Here is a 20745-nt window from a genome sequence, read left to right on the forward strand (position 1 = left end):
GTCTGTAATGTGCAAAGCCACAGGGGTGGAGCTGTCCAAGGCCGCGGGAACCCACCTCTTGCATCAGCGTGAACCTGGATGTAAGATATAGAGTCAAAGATCATTTTTTGACTTTAAGGATTAATGACTGCCCTATTGGATTTTGGACTTGCATGGAGTCTGTTGCCCCTCTGTTTTGACCAATTACTCACATTTGGAATGGGTGTATTTACCCAATGTCTGTATCCCCATCATATCTAGGAAGCAACTAACTTGCTTTTGATTTTACAGGCTCAGAGGTGGAAGGGACTTGCCTTGTCCCAGATGAGACTTTGGAGTTGGACTTTTGGGTTAATGCTGGAATGAGTTAAGACTTTGGGAGACTGTTGGAAGGACATGATTGTGTTTTGAAATGTGAGGACATGAGATTTGGGAGTGCCCAGGGGCGGAATGATATGGTTTGGCTCTGTGTTCTCCACAACTCACCTTGAATTATAATAATCCCCATGTGTCAAGGGCAGGACCAGGTGGAAATAATTGGATCATGGAGGCAGTTTTCTCTGTGCTGTTCTCATGATAATTAGTGAGTCTCATGAGATCTGATGGTTTTATAAGCGTCTGGCATTTCCCCTCCTTGCACTCATTGTTTCTCCTGCCACCCTGTGAAGAGGTGCCTTCCACCATGATGTTAAGTTTCTTGAGGCCTCCCCAGCCATGTGGAACTGTGAGTCAATTAAACCTCTTTTCTTTATAAATTACCCAGTCTTGGCTGGGCACGGTGGCTCACACCTGTAATCCCAGCACTTTGTGAGGCTGAGGTGGGTGGCTCACTTGAGGTCAGGAGTTCGAGACCAGCCTGGCCAACATGATGAAACCCCCGTCTCTACTAAAAATATAAAAATTAGCCAGGTGTGGTGGCACACGCCCATAGTCCCAGCTACTCGGGAGACTGAGGCAGGAGAATCACTTGAGTCTGAGAGGCAGAAGTGCAGTGAGCCAAGATCATGCCACTGCACTCCAGCCTCGGTGACAGAATAAAACTCCAGCTCAAAAAAAAAAAAAAAAAAGAGAAAGAAAAAAAGAAAGAAAGAAAAACAAATTACCCAGTCTTGGGTATTTCTTCATAGCAGCATGAGAATGGACCAATACAACCATGTTTATTCTTCAGCTACGGTAGCAGGACTGACTTTGACATGCTGATGTTCTTTTTCTTTTTCTTTTCTTTTCTTTTTTTTTTTTTTTTGCAGGGACTTTATGTTTTCATGGTTTATTTCATTTTACACAACCAAATGTGTTGCCCTATGAAGGCCAGTTACACTGTGGAAATGAATGGGCATCCTGGACCCAGCACAGCCTTTTTCACGCCCGGGAGTGGAATGCCTCCTGCTGGAGGGGAAATCAGCAAGTCCACCCAGAATCTCATCGGTGCTATGGAGGAGGTGTCTGCCCTTGCCCTTTCATTCTCTGTCTCTCTGTCTCTGTCTCTCTCTCTCTCTCTGTCTGTCTCTCTCTCTGTGTCTGTCTGTCTCATTGACAGGCTCTCCACCTCATAAAGAGTACAAGATGAATCACACTAGGTGACTTTTAAATCAAGATGAATCACACCAGGTGACAACTTCTGACCTATGGTACTTGGTTTCCTTACTATAGCGTCACACCCATTATCTAATTCTTTTTCTTCCTCACCCTGTGAGCTAGACTGACCAGCAGTTTGTGTTGGGAAATCAGATGGAGTATAATTTGACATTTCTTTCTTCAGAATCTTTCTAATTTGACATGTCAGTGACTGGGTCTGCCAAGGAAATGGTTCTTAAGATGCTATTTTTCCTAAAAATACTTTCATAGCTCTCTTCCTCCACCCATTCCAACTCACTACTTCAATCCCAGCAAACAGAGAAAAGAAATTAAGCCAAACCTCTTTTCAATTTACATACCAGAAAATATTTTAGAAAACAAGCTCAGAAGAGTGCTTCTGCAGCACTATTGGAAAATCTAGCCAGGATTTCCTCTGTACAAATCTACCTCCCATTGCTCTCTGCATTCTGTCCACATCATTTTTATTTCCTGTGTGTGAATCCCATTGCCACCAGCTTGTCAGTAATGCTGCCCCTAGCAGTGGGGCCACTGCTCACATTTTAAAACATCCCTGAATTCCTTTGGCCAGGAGGAGATAGTAACAAAGGCCTCTAAAAATTTCTGCAGTGTCCAAGATGTGCTTGGTTACCATTTTTTTATAAGCTCATATTGCCCTCTTTATATTAAGGAGCCAAGGAAAACAGTATTTGTGTTTACTTCCTGAAAAATGGCAGGAAATCAAGGTACATCTGTCTGAAAAGGAAACAGTTTATATTAATAGATGGATGGAGAGATTGGTAGATAGATAAATCAATAGACTGATAACTTACCTGTCCAGAGATAACTTTTGTCCTTCATAGCAATATGGAAAGGTATTTTATTTATGTTAGGTTAAAATTAAGGTAAATATTCACAATTCAAGTACTATATATATTTTTAGTTTGAATGAGAAATTTTTATATACAGAATTATTAACTAGTAACAGAAACAGAGTAGAAAGGTGGTTGTCAGGTGCTGGGGGTGAAAGAAATGAAGGATTTTGATCAAAGGGTACAAAATTTGAGTTATAAAATGAATAAGTTCAAGTACAGTCTTTAAAAATCAACCTATATCTTTAGTATCCTTAATTTTTTGGAAATCTAGTACGATTTCTCTATCCCCAAAGTTCTTAAAATAGACTTATTTCATCACAGCAGGCCCAATGGAAACAGGGACTTTTTTAGGATCAAGAATTCAGAAATGAATCTTAAAATTTTTTTTGAATGGTTGCTCAGTCCAGCATTTGTTTACATCTGAACTGTTCAATACAATAACCATTAGCTGCATGTGGCTATTTAAATTTAAACTAAAGTTAGGCAACATTAAAGAGTCAGTTTATCATTCACCCTCACCACATTTTAAGTGCTCAACAGCCACATGTGTTTGGTAGCTGCCATATTGGAGAACACAGATATAACACATTTGTATCAGTGCAGAAAGTTTTATTGGACACTGCTGGTCTAGATGTTCAACTTCCTAGTGAAATTTTTTAAGGTTCATCTTTTCCTCTCAAGTTCATTTCTAAAGTTCTCAGATCGCCATTTTCAGAAACGAAGTGTCTTTGCTGTTTCTCAGAACACCCTGTGTTGATAGGCAGTAGCTGTAACCTGTCTCTCAGAACACCCTATGTTGGTAGGCAGTAGCTGTAACAGTCCAATTCTTGGTCCAGAGCCACCACTTGGGTGCTCACTTGGGTGTTGTGCAACAGGAGAGCCTGAAGTATGCTCTGCATTCCTCAGAGGCATAGAATTGGCCTTGATTCAGCTGTCAGTGAAGTGCCGTCAGAGACATTCTAAAAAACCATGCAGAGAAGGGAAAGTACAGGAAGGAAGGATTAAGGGGTTGTTTACCAGTAACCTAGAGGGATGTAAATACATTTAATCATTCCAGGATAGAGCTATCTTTTTAATCATTCAATCAAAAACAAGGAGGAATGCTATGAAAGTATTTTTCTCAATTTAGTATATCCTTATAGATACCTACTATATTTAAAATCCTATGTGGCATTTTAGATAAAGGATTAGGAGGATTCTTCTCCATTTCTTATATTTTTTAACAGAATTTTCTTTGCATACATCTTACCAAAAAAAAGTATTTATTGGGTTAAAAATTAGTTTTCGTTCCCCACACATGACAACATAGAAATCTACAAGTAATTCAAATAGAGACATGGTTTAGAATCACAGATTAAATTGTCTCAGGGAGAGACATAATTTTCTAAAGAATGAAGATAAAATTAAAGTTGTTTTATTTTGTTTTGTTTTGTTTTTGTTTTTGTTTTTTTAGTAGAGACAGGATGTCTCTCTGTCACCCAGGCTGGAGCACAGTGGCATGATCATAGCCCACTGCAGCCTCAAACTTCTGAGCTCAAGTGAGTCTCCCACCTCAGCCTCCTGAGTAGCTGGGAATACAGGTGCACACCACCATACCCAGCTAATTTTTTACATTGTAAAAATTTTCGTAGAGATGGGGGTCTTACAGTCTTGTCCAGGTGGGTCTCTAACTCCTGGGCTCAAGCAATCCTCCCACCGAAATTTAAGGCCAGGCATGGTGGTTCACACCCATAATCACGGCACTTTGAGAGGCTGAGGCAGGATCTCTTGAGCCCAGGTGTTTGAGACCAGCCTGAGCAATGTAGTGAGACTCCATCTCTAGAAAAAATAAATTTATAAATAAGTAAAGGTCTAGTTTCAAAACAATGCCACTGCCGTTTAGCAAGGTCTTTGTACGGAGAGGCAGAGATCAATTGTCCATTTGGGTTTCATAGTGAATGTGTATGCATTCATATTATGGTTTCTTTTTCCCCCCATCCCAATCTAAAAAGGTGCCACCTGACTGGGAGAGAGCATCCTTCCAACAGGGCAGTCAGGCCAGCCCTGATTTAAAGCCAAGTCCACAAAATGGAGCCACGTTCCCGTCCTCTGGAGGATATGGCCAGGGGTCACTGATAGCCGATGAGGAGTCCCAGGAGTTTGATGATTTAATATTTGCATTAAAAACTGGTATGTATGAACCCATGAACGACATTAGAAGTAGGCACTCTTGCTATGTTACAATTTATATTTTCTTTCCATGAAGTTGCAAAGTACTATCAGTCACCCTTAGCACATCCTGATTCTCATGACCCATTCCTAATCCCAGGAAAACTCTAGGATATTTTGTTCTTGGCACCAAATGTAAGACAACCTAAAAATAATTTATAACTTGTTTTCAAAAAAGACATACTCTAACTAAATGTAAATATCCCTGTCCTGGAATCTTGCTAGAACACCAAGATACTATTAAGTTTGCTATAGACAGTCGATAGGGATCTCACTGAGGGAGTTTTGCCTCTGGCCTGCCAAAGAGACCTTCTTATGCAGTGCCTTTGAAGCAGAAACTTTCCAAGGCAACATAATGAGCATGGTATAGTTCTATAATTTCCAAGTGCTATCACATACAATAATTCTTTGACCCTCCTATTTACTCAGTCCCACTCAACTTTGACCCCAGTGGATAGTTCTTACAGAATGAGAGGAAAACAGTCCAAGAGGTCCCAACTCATCAGCATATGATACTAGAAACATGCTAAGGCAATAAAAGACCATGAAACCGCCTGATTAAGGGTCACACGCTCCTGGGTGAAACAGTTAGTGGATATCATTCTTTCCAGTGTGTCTAAATGATATCTGCATTCATAATATAAACATAGTGGATATTTTATTGGTCAGAAATTCTATTTTGAACATTAAAAGAAAACCGTAAACTAATTTGAGTTTTCAAATCAAATATGCAGTTTAAAAATTTTTTCCTCAGAAAAATGTTGAACTGACACTTATAAAAATTCCAGTGAATTTTAATTTCTAGATAACCACATAAGCAAGAAAATGTGTCCATGCCCAGTTGAAGTTATTGAAATATTTATTCAGAAGTGCATTTTACTTTCTTATAGTTTTATTGTTTGGCTATGAAGTATATTGCTTTGCTAAAACATTTTTCTTTATTATTTTGAAGTTAAAATTTTATTATATCTTGAAAAATACTCCAAAATTCCTAAGAATAACAGCATATTTTCATGTATCATATTTTACAACCTTCCCAAGGTTACATAGTTAAGCGGCGGCGCAAAGCAGATGCAGGCCGCCTGGCCTTGAGACCGTGCTCTCAGCCGCTGTGGCACAACCGCCTCTCGAGTGCTTTGTTAAGAATGGCACATCCTATCTGTATTAGTCCATTCTCACACTGCTATGAAGAAATACTGGAAACTGGGTAATTTATAAAGGAAAGAGGTTTAATTGACTCACAGTACCACATGGCTGGGGAAGCTTCAGGAAATGTACAATCATGGCGGAAGGCAAAGGAGAAGCAGGCACCTTCTTCACAGGGTGGCAGGACAGAGTGAGGGCAAGCAGGGGAAATGCCAGACACTTGTAAAACCATCAGATCTCGTGAGACTCACTCACTATCATAAGAATAGCATAGGGTAAACTGCCCCCATGATCCAGTTGCCTCCACGTGGTCCTGCCCACCACACGTGGAGAATGTGGGGCTAGAATTACAATTATAATTGAATTATACAATTACAATTGACTCTTACAATTCAAGATGAGATTTTGGGTGGGGACACAGCCAAATCATATCACTATGGAAAGGAATAAGAACTCAACCCTATACTCAGATTAGTGCTTAGAATAACCTTTGCTAGATATTGCTGAATCCTGAGTGAGGGGATGAATTTGAACAATGAAGCTTAGAGTTTGCTAGGAAAAATAGACATTCACATAAACATGACATAAGAAAGAATAAAGTAATGGAGAGAGTTAAAAAATGACAGAGGAGATGAAAAAGTAACAAAAAATTCTCTATTAATTCTTGAAGGATGTATAGGTTTTGAACAAGTAAAGAATGGAGGAAAGGGCATTAGGGACTGAGGGAATAGAATTAGCAGGAGCCCAGAGGCTTAATGGTGTGTGGCCTGTTTTAGAACCAGTGCTGCAGTGTGGCAGGGGCAGAGAGTGAGAGAAGCCGGGCAGCAGAAGGCAGGCCTGACAGGTAGCTTGCCGGCACCATCAATAATCTACTAGAGTTCCCCAGCTGGGTTTCAGCAAACACCCTCCCTTAGCTATTCATAGTCATTCCGCAATGGGAGGATCCCTGACCCAGTATATTTGGGCAATTGCAGAGATTCACAATTCACATTAGCATTTTAGCAGCTCTAAAATGTTCTAGACCAAGGAAACCCATTTTGCTTAATTTAACCTGGTCTTTCCAGAACACTAGCAATACAATCATTGTGGGGGAGCAGAACACTCACTGATACTTTGCATAATATTAAAATGCTATTCGGATGCCATGGTAAGGAGTGAGATTTTTATAGAACATAGTGAGCCATGTAGGTTTTGGAGGAAAGAAATGGCATGTTCCTATTTGTTTTGAGGCAAAATAACTCTTATGAAAGTATGAAGAAATAAATTTAGAAGCAATATCAGAAAGGCTGGGAGGTTATTACAGTGTTCCAAAAGAATGAGATTAAGGCCTCAAATCTGGAGAGTGGAAATAAAAATGGGAAATGAGCTTCCCAACAAGAGGAATGCCGAGGAAAGACTGAGGGACAATCTTCCAAAGCTCATGCTTCTCACCACAATGGCTGACTAAAAGAAAAGTATATAGAGCATTTGTTTGTTTATTTGTTTGCAGGAGGAAACTGATGAGTTCAGATGTAGGCCTGGTGGCTCCTAAATATTCAGGTTTGGATCTTAGGTGAGGGACCAGGATAAAAGGTAATGATTTGAAATGCATCAGCACAGAGATGATATTTGAAGCTATGGAGATGAAAAAAGGTTGATCTGGGAGACTGGAAGGAGAGAGAAGAAAGGAAAAGAGATGAGGAAGTCAGGGGAGAAGAAGGAAGGGAAACAGGAATGTTATAGATAATACCAACATTTAAAGAGTGAATTAGAAGACAGTCTCACCAAGAAACTGTAGCAAGTTCAGAAAGAAAAACAAAGAGGAAGGAGTTTCAGGAAGGAAGAAATGATTAGCTGCACAAAACTTTCCTTAAAGTCAGGGCTGAAAAGAGGCTATCAGACTACAAGTAATTCTCAGGGCAGATTATGTCCTCAGTGCTACAGTGTCATCAGTTGTTGAAGTTATGACACCGGAAACATAAAGTGAATTCTTGGAACATAATTAAATTAGATCTATATTACATTACATCTTATATTTATGTAACTATGAAGTGCATTTGGTTCTAGAATGTAAGGAATGTCTTCCTTACTTATAGATTTGTAGAGTTCCCTGAACTCACTAGGAAATAAATACTTTAAAAGACCAAAATAACAATCTCTAATACTTGGTTCCCTATATTTTTAGAAAAAGTAATGTAGTAATCATGTATCAGCCACTGGACACTTTCCCTCCTAGAATATGGTCAAATAAAGGTCAGTCTACATGCCATTTTGTCTACAGCAGTTATAACTGACCCATAAGGCCAGATTCAGCCCAACAAAGTGCTTTGTTTGATCCATATAACATCTTAACATTTTTTGAGCCAATATGAAAAATACAGAGCTATTTTCTAAAAATATAGAATTTCTAGAAAAATCTAGCAACAGAGTCTTTGAAGTCGAGCACAGCGCTGCTTGCTTGGAACTGAGTAATAGCAGCCCCTTTGGACATGAGCTCTTCCACTGTCTAGTGCCTACTAGGCCCATGTCACTGGTTTATGCAAACCTCCTTGGCCACTAGGACATTTGAGTTTGCAAACCTTGGTCCCTCTCAGGTCCACCTTCACTATGGCCCATTCCAAGTCAAGTACTAAAACAGTGGGCCTTCCATGTCTCTTTCATTTGAACCCCTAAACAACTTGTCAAAGCTATGTAGCCTTTTGCATGTGTTTAAAAAGTTTTTCATAATCAGTTTAAATGGTATCAAATAATGTAATTTCCACTATATCATACATTTTGGTGTTTGAAAATAAAACTTTTACATTATTGTTTGAAACTAACCCAAAGGCTCTTTGCTAACTACCTTAGCAATGCAATACCTAGTTATTCATTTTTTAAATATGTGAACAGGCTTTTTTTTATAATTGGAAATTTGACATCACTTTCTTTTCTCCTTGAACTTATATTTCCATTCTACTTTCTCCACAGAATTTTATCCTACTATAATATATTTTATACTTAAAATTCATTTTACTCATATTTCTTTCCAACAGAACATGTTTTTAAATTAGAACTTAATTTTTTTCTGTGGCCATAAGACTCTAAGGTGTTCAACATTTCTTTTATACTGTTACCATTACAATTATTCCTAGTGTACAGTTCAACAAATCAACATGAGTAACAAAAACATCTGTTTTGATAAATGATTGTCAAAAATGAAAAAGACTCATCAGAATAATAGATATGGAAATTCAAGATCTGGGAATGTATTCCCTTAAAGCTGTCCTTCCCATACTATCTTGTACTCCTTGAAAAGGCATCATGTACCACAAGTTAAAGGAATCCCAGCCTGAAGACTTCTACTTCAGGTGCTTTACATCCTGCAGAGGCACTGACCTGGAGCGATGTGCAACATTAGATTATGAGGAGGGGCAGCCAGCTCCCACATTGACCACTGACGTTAGCCAAATCGTTAACCACCTCTTCTCACCTATAATAACTGGGCTAGCACACTCCTATTTTCCCTTCTACTTCAAAAATCCTACATTGCAAAGATTTCCTTATTCTCAAATAACAGTTTCTACCATGTATCTGATAATTTTCTACTTGAGATTATGTGACAATGAGCCACCAATTTCTGCCCATGTCCTAGGCTTTCTGGCAGGCCTCCAATCTCTCCTTACATCTGCAGCCAACCTTAGAGAACACTGGAAATTTAAGGCAAAAATGGGCCTTTGGCATTCAACAGCCATTCTTTTTAACCTCCTCCTTTCTTAGCTATAGCATCATTCATAATGAAGTTTTCTATAAACAGGTAGAAGATAAAAGCTTTTTCTGTGGTTTTTACATCTTAATAGAAAACCCTTAAAAACCAAAACCTACAAGGTGGAAAAAAGTTCATTTTTACTTGTGGGACTTCAGGGACTGTGGTAGCATCAGATGAAAGATCAAATTTGAAAATCCTTCTCAAATTGTACCACCTGTTAATCAGGTTTGTTCTATGTACTTCCCTTCCCCTAAGATCCTGCACTAAAATATGTGTCAGAGAGTATGTAATAATCAAGACAGAGGTTAATAAGTCTCAAATGAGCAAGTAGGTCACAAGAATAGGAAGCATGGTCCATCCAATGCAAATTCCACATAGAAGCAGGAAGGGTGGCCAGGTGAACATGTAGAAATAAGAATCTGGCCTAGTCCTGGGCCAGAGTTTATGTTCTGAAAAACCAGGATTCATCTCAGTATCCCTGGAAATGTAGCAGTGCTGAGTATCTCAGTTGATGCTCCATATTGGATGGATACATGGATGGGTGGATGGATGGATGGATGGATGGATGGATGGATGGATGGATGGATGGATGGATAGATGCATGGGATTCAGGAAGAGTGACTAGGCCTTTCAATAGCCACTGATACTATCTCCTGTGCCCTTTTAATCTCCCTTACAATTCATCATCTTTCAGTTAGGAATAATGTTCAGATATTCAAGCACATACTAAAATGCTTGCATTAATTCAGTAGGTAGAATGCCTTTACTGAGTGCAATAGAGAGAATTTAATGTCAGAATGCCATTGCTCTAAGGGGCAAGGAGGAGACCTAACACTCTTTAGCTAAGACATTCTCTTTTTAATTATGTTAAGATTAACCATGAGAAAGACTATATCTCTAAGACAGAAAGCTTAAGTAGTCAGTTTCCAGATTAAAAAAATCATCACTTCTTTACAAGCATTTACAAATGCTTGTCAGCAGGCTCCAAATTCATGTTTGACAGCTACAAATGAATTCTGATGTGGGCAAGACAGTGTTTTTGAAGCCACTGTGTTAGTGCATACTTTGTTGCATACTTCAAACTTATATTAAAGGCAAGTATATTAAAATTGTTTGATCTAAAATAGAAGCCCTGGCCCATAAAACAGTCATGGACTTCTTTTTCAATCTAATTTTAACCATATTACATTTTTAAAAATTTAGAAAAAGAAAACACTATTGACGTTTTAAGTTTTTAAGTTAAAATATTCGACTTTCTATGAGAAATCCACATTTCACTCTCAAAAAAGATGACATAATGTCCTTCAATTATTTGTTCTTGAAGTACATCGGCACTTCCACAGGCAAATGAGACACTGAGTTCTAGACTAGTGGTATCCTGATTATTATTAGTTTTTTTTTTTTATTTTAAATAGAGCTGTCTAATGTATCATCAGTGTCCCCAACCAGGACTTTAGGAGAATGGGAACAGTCACCCTGGGACAGCCTCCATTTTAGGGAAGAGGAGAAAGTTCAGAGCAAACTAGAACAAAGACTCAGGATGAGGGTAGGATGGAAAGGAATGTCTCCATTTACATGCTTAACAAGGTGTGCCTTGAGTACTGGCATTTCTGTGTTGATCCCAAGTTGACAAGATTCCTGAAAATGTCAAGCTTGGAACATATTGGGCTTAGAAAGGAGTCTTTCTTCAGCGAGGGCTTCTCCCAGAATGACTAACCTGATTCCCCACCATCCCCAGCCCCCTAGCCTCCTGGTGTTATCCCAGGCCAATGACATCAATGTCATGGTAAACATTTCCATATGGGAAACCTAGAAATGATTTATTTTTCAGTTAGAAGAAAATAGATGACAAGTCCTTGAACACAAATGAAAACATTCAGAATCAAGGCCCAAAATACTCAAACTTCTCCAAGAACTCATCAATAAATTTCTCTTTGCAAGATATCCCATCAAACCACAATGACTTATTTAACTTCAAGAACTTATGCAGCCCAGTGTAGTAAACAAAGTTAGGTAAGAATCAAAATGGAAAGGTGGAATTTTGAAAGATTTTGAATTTTTTCCTCAGAAAAAGATGGAAGGGGTATGGTCTTTGGATCATTGTCACATTGATGTGGGCCACTCAGCTAGCACCTCTCATCCTCACTCAGTCCGTGCATCTGTAAAACAGGACTGATACTCACCCTATCCTAACCAAAGTATATTAAAATGTTAAGAAAAGATGAAGCTCATGATGAATGTAAATTATTACTTTTAGTTCCTTTATAATTGCCTGTTCTATTGACCAAAGGAAAGTGTCCCTGTTATCACAGTCGCTGGATTTTTCTTAAACTTTTGGTTTGAAATTTAAGCATGGAAACACCTTTCAGAAAATCAGGATACTTACTGCAAACTACCCGCCTATACCATTTAATGAATTGCAAAGGGATGGGAGACCTGGTTTGTGCTCCCAGGTCTCGGCATGTTATACTTGTGTGTAATATATGCCTTTTCTGAGTCTCAGTGAGGGATGAGTATCTGGATATTTGTGCATTTCTTTGAACTTGGAAGAAATTGCAAAGGAGGATGATGAGATGGGTCAGTAGATGTGGTGACTCAAGACGAGTCTAGAACTTGCTTACATATCTTGAGTTGCTAAACAAGCTCAGCATGCTTTCAATAAGGCAGAGCTTGTCTTTCTAGTGTGCCTTGTCCCAGTTGTCATCACATGCTTTATGATGATATTCCTAGTGGGATTTAGAGTAGGCAGACACTGAAATCACTGGGAGTTGGTACTAGTTAAGTCATTCGGCCTCAGTCTTCCCTGAGGCTAATCATGGGGTCCTCTCTGTTCCTCCCTAGTGCTTCCATATTTAGCTCTTCCTTGCTACAGGCCCCAGGGCCTTAGTCACCTCCTTATAGAATGGCCACTGTCTCGCCAGTTCACTGAGGTTCTTCCACATAACACGGTTCTCCTGTTCCCAGCAGAGAAGCATGGGCCATTTGTCCTTCGAAGGCCTGGAAGTAGACACAAATGTTACCTTCGGGGGCCAAGCATTATTTATGGTAGTCCATAAATGATTGAAGAGGGCTGGGTGAAAACAGAGACAAACTGAAGGACTGCCTGGTCCATGGGTTTTTTGTTGTTGTTTTTTGTTTTGTTTTGTAATGCGGAAATGCAGGCCCAATGTTGCCTGATCTTCTGGTTGTTGTTTTTGTTAGTTTTTTTTTTTTTTTTTCAAGAGAAACCAGAAATCTGATTTTTTTGATGTGAAATGTATTAATTGGTAAATTTTAGCAACTTAGTAAATTTTTAAAAATACATTGTCACTGGCAATATTCTGGTTCTTGAAGAAAGGAGTTTATGAGTGTTTGTTAAGCATTTTGCTTTATGGCTTATGTATACATTGTAGATAGGAGTATTATTAAATTTATCATCAAAACCTGGGCAGTGTGAGAGAATAAAGGGGAGGTGATTAATGATTTTGTCAGGGATGAGAACTTTTCACATTTTATGTCCTCCAGCTCCCTATTTTGAGGAGATGGAAAAATAAGTATCTGTAAAAAGGTATAGAGATGGGCCCTGATGGGCAGGCAGGAAGACATTCAGGCTGGAATTAACATGGTGCATTCAGGGCATCAGGAGACCTGATCAGTTTCAGAGAAAGCGCTCCAAAAGGCAATGGTTGGGATACATCTATTTGATAGGCTAGAGACAGATTAAAGACTGATATGAAAGCCAAAGCAGAGGGTTCCCAACTCAGTGTAACTGGCAATAGGAACTAACACTCGTTCTTGAGAAGGAGAGGGCAGTGGAATACAGAACAGACCAGAGGAACAGAACAGGAGATGAGATGGAGCAGGCAGGTTCACGACTTAGGATGCAGAGCACAGTTTAATACTACATTCAGCACACATTTGCTGAACACCTGCAGTGTACTGAGCACTGTCCTATGAGCTAGGAGACAGAAAGATAGGAAGGACATAATCCAGTGGGGGGGTCAGAAATTTTAAAAGAGAATCATCATGTTTCAAGGGATAGCAGAGTTGATATTGGTAGGAAGAGTGGAGGCAGCCAGATGAAGGAGGTGGGAAGTGAGAAGAGCACCCCAGGCAGAGGTGCCAGCATAAGAACGTCGTGTGAAAAGGCAGTGACCTGCTGCTCCGTGTCCTGAGCTTGGAAACCCTAGTGAGACATTAGGAGAGAGTGCAGGCAAGAGGATCCTGCAGGCCTTGAGACAGGGCAGAAAACAAGGCCTCCAGAAATGAGGCAGCAGGAGGAAGTGTATGAGAAAGCAGAATAGATCTAGAAAGAGCCAGCAGATCAGAGGATAAGATGGGCAAGTACCATGTCACAGAAGCAAAGAGAGGAAGTGGAGTTTCAACAGCGGCCTTTAACAGAGAGAGTGCGAAGGTCAGAGACCCAGAAGAAGGAGGGCTTGGCTAGAAGGTCACTAGTAGGCTCTGGCTTCCATCTCCAGATAGGCTAAGATTAAGCCAATTCACCATTTTCCCACAACTGTCAACTCTGCAGAATTGCCTTTTCTTCCTCTCAGACAGAAAGGGAAATCCCAGCTGCCTGAGCAACCGGTTTTTCACTTTCCTCCTTGTTTGCAGAGTCTAGTGGGGCTGGCCCTGGTAACCTCTGGTGATTCATCCAGCACACCCTATGACCACATCCCCATTGTGTGTGTGTAGAGAGGATGAGAGTTTATGTGTTCCTCTGAACGTTATTACAAAAGAAAAGAACATTGTTCTCTAGAAATATGAAAGAAAAAGAAAAGAACAAGGTGTTACTCTAGCATAGTTTTTTCTCAATTATCTGAGTTGTGAAAAAAAAAGTAATGAATAGTGGAGCTTCCTCAAAACAGATTCTGAGCGCTGTCAGTAGTTAACAGTAACTACTGTGGTGGAATTCCTGTGTGGATCTATTTTGGCACTGTGTTACGTAATTATTTTTATCTTAGGATCAGATCTGAATCATTCAAAGCCAATGTCTTCAGGGCACTGGTGTGACTCCAGGTGTTCTCACATGCCTGTCTTTCTTCTCAGATCACTGCCCAACACTGAATCTCAAGTGATGGACCTCAGTGCATATGAATTCGGGGCCTATATGTTTTGTAACAGCAAATCCTACCCCACTGGTGAAAAAGTCTAATAACCTGACTGATTTTCTATTTTGATGAGCCCTCAATTGAGAGATTATATTGTGGTAGTAGGTTACACCTGCCCACCATGTGAAAAACAAACAGTAAAGATTGAGAACCCAAATGTGTGTCTTTAGAAATTAATCCGTACAATTTAAAAAACTGCCAAAGGAAATGTAAAAGATAGTTTCATAATTGTTAGGTATTAATAATATCTATTCTAAATGTATGGCTTATTTTTTACTAATATAATAGAAATAAACAGGCTTGGACCTAATGTAAATTGATTCTTAAGAATTCACTGCACTAATAGTTTGGATTTTTGTGTTCATTCTATTTCTGTGGCAGGTGCTGGTCTCAGTGTCAGTGATAATGAATCTGGTCAAGGCAGCCAGGAGGGGGGCACCTTGACTGACTCCCAGATCGTGGAGCTCAGGAGGATACCCATCGCCGACACTCACCTGTAGCACCTCACTAACCATTCGACTGAGCACACTTTCATATTTGTATCAGCTTTTGTGCTAAAACTCTCTAAGTACATCCACCTGTGTAATAGGAACCTGTGAATTGTACTGGATGATTAATACAAACGTGATTGTTGTATTTGGAGTATAAATTACTGATTGTATGTGACCTGAAAATTCACTGCTATAAGAAAGGTGGAGTCAGTTTGTATCAGTTAATAGGATGTTCATATTCCAAGGATATTAGTTGTTTTTTTAATCATCCTATATGGCTAACATTGTTTAATGAAAGTAATAATCAATAAAGCAATAGAATCTATTTGGTATCATCCAGCTTCATTATTGATAAAGAAACATTGTGCATGGGCAAAAAAAGCTAACTCTATATGTAGATGATGACAAGCACCCTGTGCCATCTTGCATGAATCCAGGTGATCCAGATTCAAGACTTCACTGCAACTAGAAGACTTTAATTCTGAAAACTGTAAAATGGTCTGTCTGTTGATGATCCTGCACATAAATGTTGATTGGAGTACTGAAGTTGGCCTAGTCTTTCAACAGTATGTATTTCTGCTCATTATAAAATTAGGGATCTGAACACTTCTCAGAATGAATGTTCTGTCCCCAGTTAAAAATAACTCCATCAAGCATTTTTTTCACGCAGTTAGAAGAGGATCTTTCAAACAATGCAGAGTTTGTTTTAGAGAAACATTTCTCAGTTTGGATTTTTCAGTCTTTCTTTGTCTTGGAATGAGACATCAGAAAGTCTATCCCAGAACAAACGCTGTTGTGTTCGTGATGATTTCATTGACTATAGTTCCAGAAGAATCATCAGGAACAGAACAAGTTTGTCCTGAGGAAGGCATTTTGACTTTTTATTTTGGAATTCTTAAGTATGTTTGAGAAAATCAGTATCATCTCAAGAAAGGTTAAAAAGATTAGCTAAGAGAAAATTTTGTTCTGTTAATAATTTTCCTTAGAGCCATAATTAAAAGATCCAAGTGCTTTATCATCGCTATTAAGGGTGGCTTTATTTGTTATAAAGCCTGAGGTGGCATTATTTATCTTGATAAATTATAAAATGTCTCCTTTTCCTGTGAGTCCTCCCCTTCCCCTACCCCCTTCGTCTTATATTGAGTTTCGATAAGTAGACTGTCACTGTAAGTAGAAAACAAAGGGTCAGGAGCAGTGGCTCATGCCTGTAATCCCAGCACTTTGGGAGGCCAAGGTGGGAGGATCCCTTGAGTCCAGGAGTTCAAAACTAGCCTGGGTGACATGGCAAAACTCTGTCTCTACAAAAAAATACATTAGACATCTAATTGTCTAACAAAGGCAATTGTTGGTAGCTCTTTTCTTTTCTACGTGTTGCCAAAATTTGAGAAAACCTGACCAAAAAAGGTTGCTGGGTTTCTATTGCTATTCAAATTGCCATCATGATAAAAAATCAAAAGGGCTACCTGCCACTGTTCAGCTTGATTCTTTTAAATATTGGAAGGAAAACCCAAGGTTTTACAAGCCACAGTGCTAAAAACAAATAAGATTCATATGCCAATAGCAACAATAGTTTGCCATTCTGTTTCCTCCAAATGTGCATTAAAGTGGGACACCTGCCATATAGTACTATGTAGGGAGAAGCAAATAAAATCAAATTCTCAAAAATGAAAACGGAAAGGCTAGGACTCTAACACTTCACCTGTGATCTTTCTCTTTAAGTAGGATTGGTCCTCTTTTTCTCCATGACATTTCCTTAACGCCTTTACTGAGATATCATTCACATTCCATAAAACCTATTTAAAGTATACACTTCAATGGTATTTGGTATATTACGTTATTGGAGTTTTTAAAAATTGTAGTAAAATATGTATAAAATGTATTATTTTAACCATTTTAAGGGTATAATTCAGTGGTTTAATTACATTCACGATGTTTTGCAACCATCACCTTTATCTATTTCCAGAATGTTTTCATCACTCCAAACAGAAACTCTGTATACCCCTTCTCCATCACATTTTCTTTCCTCTGTAGGAGATACCTGACATTTCCTTGGCAATGTCTTCACTTTTCTGCATTTTTGTGATTACTTTATTGCATTTGTTTTTGTTTTACGTTTTTAGTATTTTAGAACATTAAAATAAAAAAGGATTTTTCATAATTTGGATACAAGTACAGAGAGGTATGCACATGGGTTACAGGATGATGATAGAACTGGTGGAATTTCAAGACAGGAAATACCAGTTGAATGAAAATCTTAGTAAACAAAACACAGAAAAGCATTTCATTCTGGAACTTGAGTTTTGCGTTGATTTTCAATCTCTTGAGATACTTTAAGGTTTAATCAACATTTTCCATGCCTCCCAAATCTGATCACGGAAGTTTAAACATAATGGAGGTATGAAAAAAAATGCCATTTGGGAACTGAACTCCCAAACAATTTCACCTTGTGTTTACCAGCACTTAAGATCCTAAGGCCTCTGGGTAGATTTGTTTGAGGTTAAGTGTCAATCAGATAAGTAAGTGATGTTGACCTCAAAGTGTCTGGATGCCAGAGTAGATCTCCCTTGGACACCCTGACTTTGGCAGAAACAAAGAAAGCACCAAGGCCATGCCTATGTTCCATATGGCCTTCTAATTGTTAATGTCATAGACCCAGTCCTTCCAATGCTTCTCTAGCAGGATCCAAGTCAAAGGACCACATATTCAATGAGTAATATTTACAGAATGGACCAAATGACTGAGGCTGGGAAACTCTTTCATCATCTTGCATCTCTTCTACTCTTTTTTTTTTTTCTTTTTTGAGATGGAGTCTCACTCTGCCTCCCAGGCTGGGGTGCAGTAGCTCAATCTTGGCTCACTGCAACCTCACCTCCTGGGTTTATGTGATTCTCCTGCCTCAGCCTCCCGAGTAGCTTGGATTACAAGTGCACGCCAGTGCACCCAGCTAAGTTTTTGTATTTTCAGTAGAGACAGGGTTTCACCATGTTGTCCAGGCTGGTCTCAAACTTCTGACCTCAGATGATCTGCCCGCCTTAGCCTCCCAAACTGCTGGGATTACAGGCGTGAGCCACCATGCCCAGCTACTTCTAGTCTTTTTGACTGACTAGTGAAATAAAATACAACTCAGCTGAGTGATATTGAGAAAACGTAGTTCATACATTCTGATTTTATTCTTACTCAATTATTCTCACCTACCCAAACTTTTATTCCATAAAAATGTCAACACTGTAGTAGAAAAGCAAATTCACCTTTATAAACATTTAGAAACACCCAGATGCTTTATTAAACTATAGTGCATACTAGCTAGCACATGCGTGAATACATGCACAATATTCCTAAGGAAAACACATTATTTTCGTGGTAATCTATAACTATTCAAACCACCTTGACAAGTTAGGCAACTACTTTAATTAGGAATTGACTACACTGGAGATAAAAGTGTTTAACAAAGAATTTATTCAAAACAACCCAGATACTTATTGATGCTTCAGTATCATTGATTTATGGTTAACAAACATCTTTTATAAACTAAATTACATGGTTTCAAGAAGAAATGCAAATGGCGAATAACCATGCTTCCTGTCATCTGTGACAATGGGATACTGTTATCAAATACTACTGTCATGGTCCTTGGGAATACTATGGATGTCTCATTTCAGTTCCCAGCCTGGCCCCTGCAGTGGACTCAGCAACTGGATCTACCTATTAGAACCAAGGTTGGAGCCAAAGTTTCTAAAACTGACATAGCTCTAGAAATTTATGAGCACTTTCAGTACATGAAATAGTATTTTAGGACTGTGAAAAAACGTAAGTAATCACTGCTTTCTAATAGATACAATAATTCAAATTTTAGCAAGATCAAACTTTACTTTTTGCCTGTGATAAACCTTTATGAGTTTGTAAACAAATCACAAATTTGATTTTTTTTAAATTTAGGATTGTACTCCTAGCATTTGTTTTGTAACACTAATGAAGGAAAGAGACAATGCAAACCATTTCAACATCACTATTTTGAGCTTTGGTATGGTTACATTTATTTCAGAGGTAATGGGGTGTGTGTGTGTGTGTGTGTGTGTGTGTGTGTGTGACGCTGAAAAGTTCTGGGGGCCGGGTGCAGTGGCTCACACCTGTAATCCCAGCACTTTGGGAGGCCAAGGCAGGCAGATCACTTGAGGCCAGGAGTTTGAGACCAGCCTGGCCAAAATGGTGAAACCCAATCTCTACAAAAAATACAAAAATTAGCCAGGCATGGTGTCAGGTTCCTGTAAGGCTGAGGCAAGAGAATTGCTTGAACCCAAGAGGCAGAGGTTTCAGTGAGCCTAGATCGTGCCACTACACCTCCAGCCTGGGCTACAAAGATAGGCTCTGCCTCAAAAAAAAAAAAAAAAAAAAAAAAGTCCTGGGAATTCAGAGCAAGAAAAAAAGAAAAACAGGAAAATTACAATAATAATAGTTTCCATGATTAAAAGATGTTTTCAAAAGCTGACTTGTGAAGTGTGTGAAACAGTCCATCATCCTGCACCACATTATATATCCTTATTCTGCACATTCATCAAAATCATTTTGAAGACTTTTGTACATTACAGGAGGGGAGTAGTGGTCATTTAATGAAAGACTTGAAAGAGTGGGTAAGAACACTCACACAAACTAGAAAGATACTCAAGAACTATCAGGGGTACTATGGTTTCTTTCCTGAATGTTCTATCAAATAATACACGTATTATATAGTAAAGGGGTTGTTTCCCCTTTTAAAAGATCACCTTTATCCTGAAGGTTCATCTGTGCTGTCACATTTTGCAGAATTTCCTTTTTAAAGGCTGAGCAGTATTCCACTGTATGTCTATACCATACTCTGTTTATCTATTCATCTGTCAATGGACATTTGGGTTGTTTGCACATCTTGGCTATTGTGAATAGTGCTGCAATGAATATAGAAGTGCTAGTATCTCTTCAAGATTCTGATTTCATTTCTTTTGGACAAATATTCAGAAGTGGGATTGCTGGTTCGTTTGTTAGTTCTATTTTAAATTTTTTTAGAAAGTCCCATGCTGTTTTCCATAGCAGCCACACCATTTTGTATTCTCACCAACAGTGTACAAGGGTTCTGGTTTCTACACATCCTCACCAATACTTGTTGTCTTTTTGTTTTCTCATAATAGCCATCCTGGCAGTTGTGAGGTGAAATCTCATTGTGGTTTTGATTTTCATTTCTCTGATGACTAGTGACATTGTGCATTTTTTAATACATCTGTTAGCCATTTGTATGTCTTCTTTGAAGAAATGTCTGTTCTAGTCCTTAGTCCATTTCTAATTGGGTTATAAGGTGTTTTTGGCTATTGAATTGTTAGAGTTCCTTATATATTTTGGAAATTAACCCTTTATCAGAAACATGGTTTGCAAATATTTTCTCCATTCTATAGGTTGCCATTTTACTCTGTTGATAAGTGGAATAAGACAATCACAGAAAGACAAATACTACATTATTCCACTTATATGAGGTATCTAAAATAGTCAACTTCACAGAATTAAAGAGTGGAATAGTGGTTGCCAGGGGATGGGGGAGGGGAAATGGGGATTTAAATCAATGGGCATAAAGTTTCAGTTAAGCAAGTTGAATAAGCTCTAGAATAAGCTCTGGAAATTTGGCATACAACAGT

At 38.8% G+C, this 20745-nt stretch overlaps 1 protein-coding gene and 1 long non-coding RNA gene across 13 annotated transcripts in view, besides 2 other annotated features; one reads left to right on the top strand and one right to left on the bottom strand.

Annotated features, from left to right (window-relative positions):
* ADGRV1 (adhesion G protein-coupled receptor V1) overlaps positions 1-15634 on the top strand; it is a 605641-nt gene extending 590007 nt beyond the window's left edge. For 11 of the 12 annotated variants that reach the window (NR_003149.2, XM_017009963.3, XM_017009968.3 and 8 more), the window contains 3 exons: positions 1227-1418; positions 4418-4595; positions 14979-15634. Coding sequence is in view for 11 of the 12 variants with exons in the window: in XM_017009963.3 (XP_016865452.1) it covers positions 1227-1418; positions 4418-4595; positions 14979-15097 (489 nt within the window). In the remaining variant the exon portion in view is untranslated. The remainder of the gene's footprint in view (positions 1-1226; positions 1419-4417; positions 4596-14978) is intronic. The other variant, XM_017009969.3, reaches the window with a different exon arrangement.
* The window catches only part of LOC107986432 (uncharacterized), a 113452-nt gene continuing 95725 nt past the window's right edge, over positions 3019-20745 (bottom strand). The window contains exon 7 of the long non-coding RNA XR_001742795.2: positions 3019-3385. This is a non-coding gene — a long non-coding RNA (uncharacterized LOC107986432). The remainder of the gene's footprint in view (positions 3386-20745) is intronic.
* Positions 13903-13952: an enhancer, noted in NCBI's record as "active region_22783". NCBI's record gives its function as "activates an Ori minimal core promoter by ATAC-STARR-seq in GM12878 lymphoblastoid cells {active_cell/tissue: GM12878}" and the evidence as "EXISTENCE:reporter gene assay evidence [ECO:0000049][PMID:35858748]".
* Positions 13973-14102: an enhancer, noted in NCBI's record as "active region_22784". NCBI's record gives its function as "activates an Ori minimal core promoter by ATAC-STARR-seq in GM12878 lymphoblastoid cells {active_cell/tissue: GM12878}" and the evidence as "EXISTENCE:reporter gene assay evidence [ECO:0000049][PMID:35858748]".

The sequence above is a fragment of the Homo sapiens genome, chromosome 5 (genome assembly GCF_000001405.40).
Source record: "Homo sapiens chromosome 5, GRCh38.p14 Primary Assembly".
Lineage (NCBI taxonomy): Eukaryota > Metazoa > Chordata > Mammalia > Primates > Hominidae > Homo > Homo sapiens.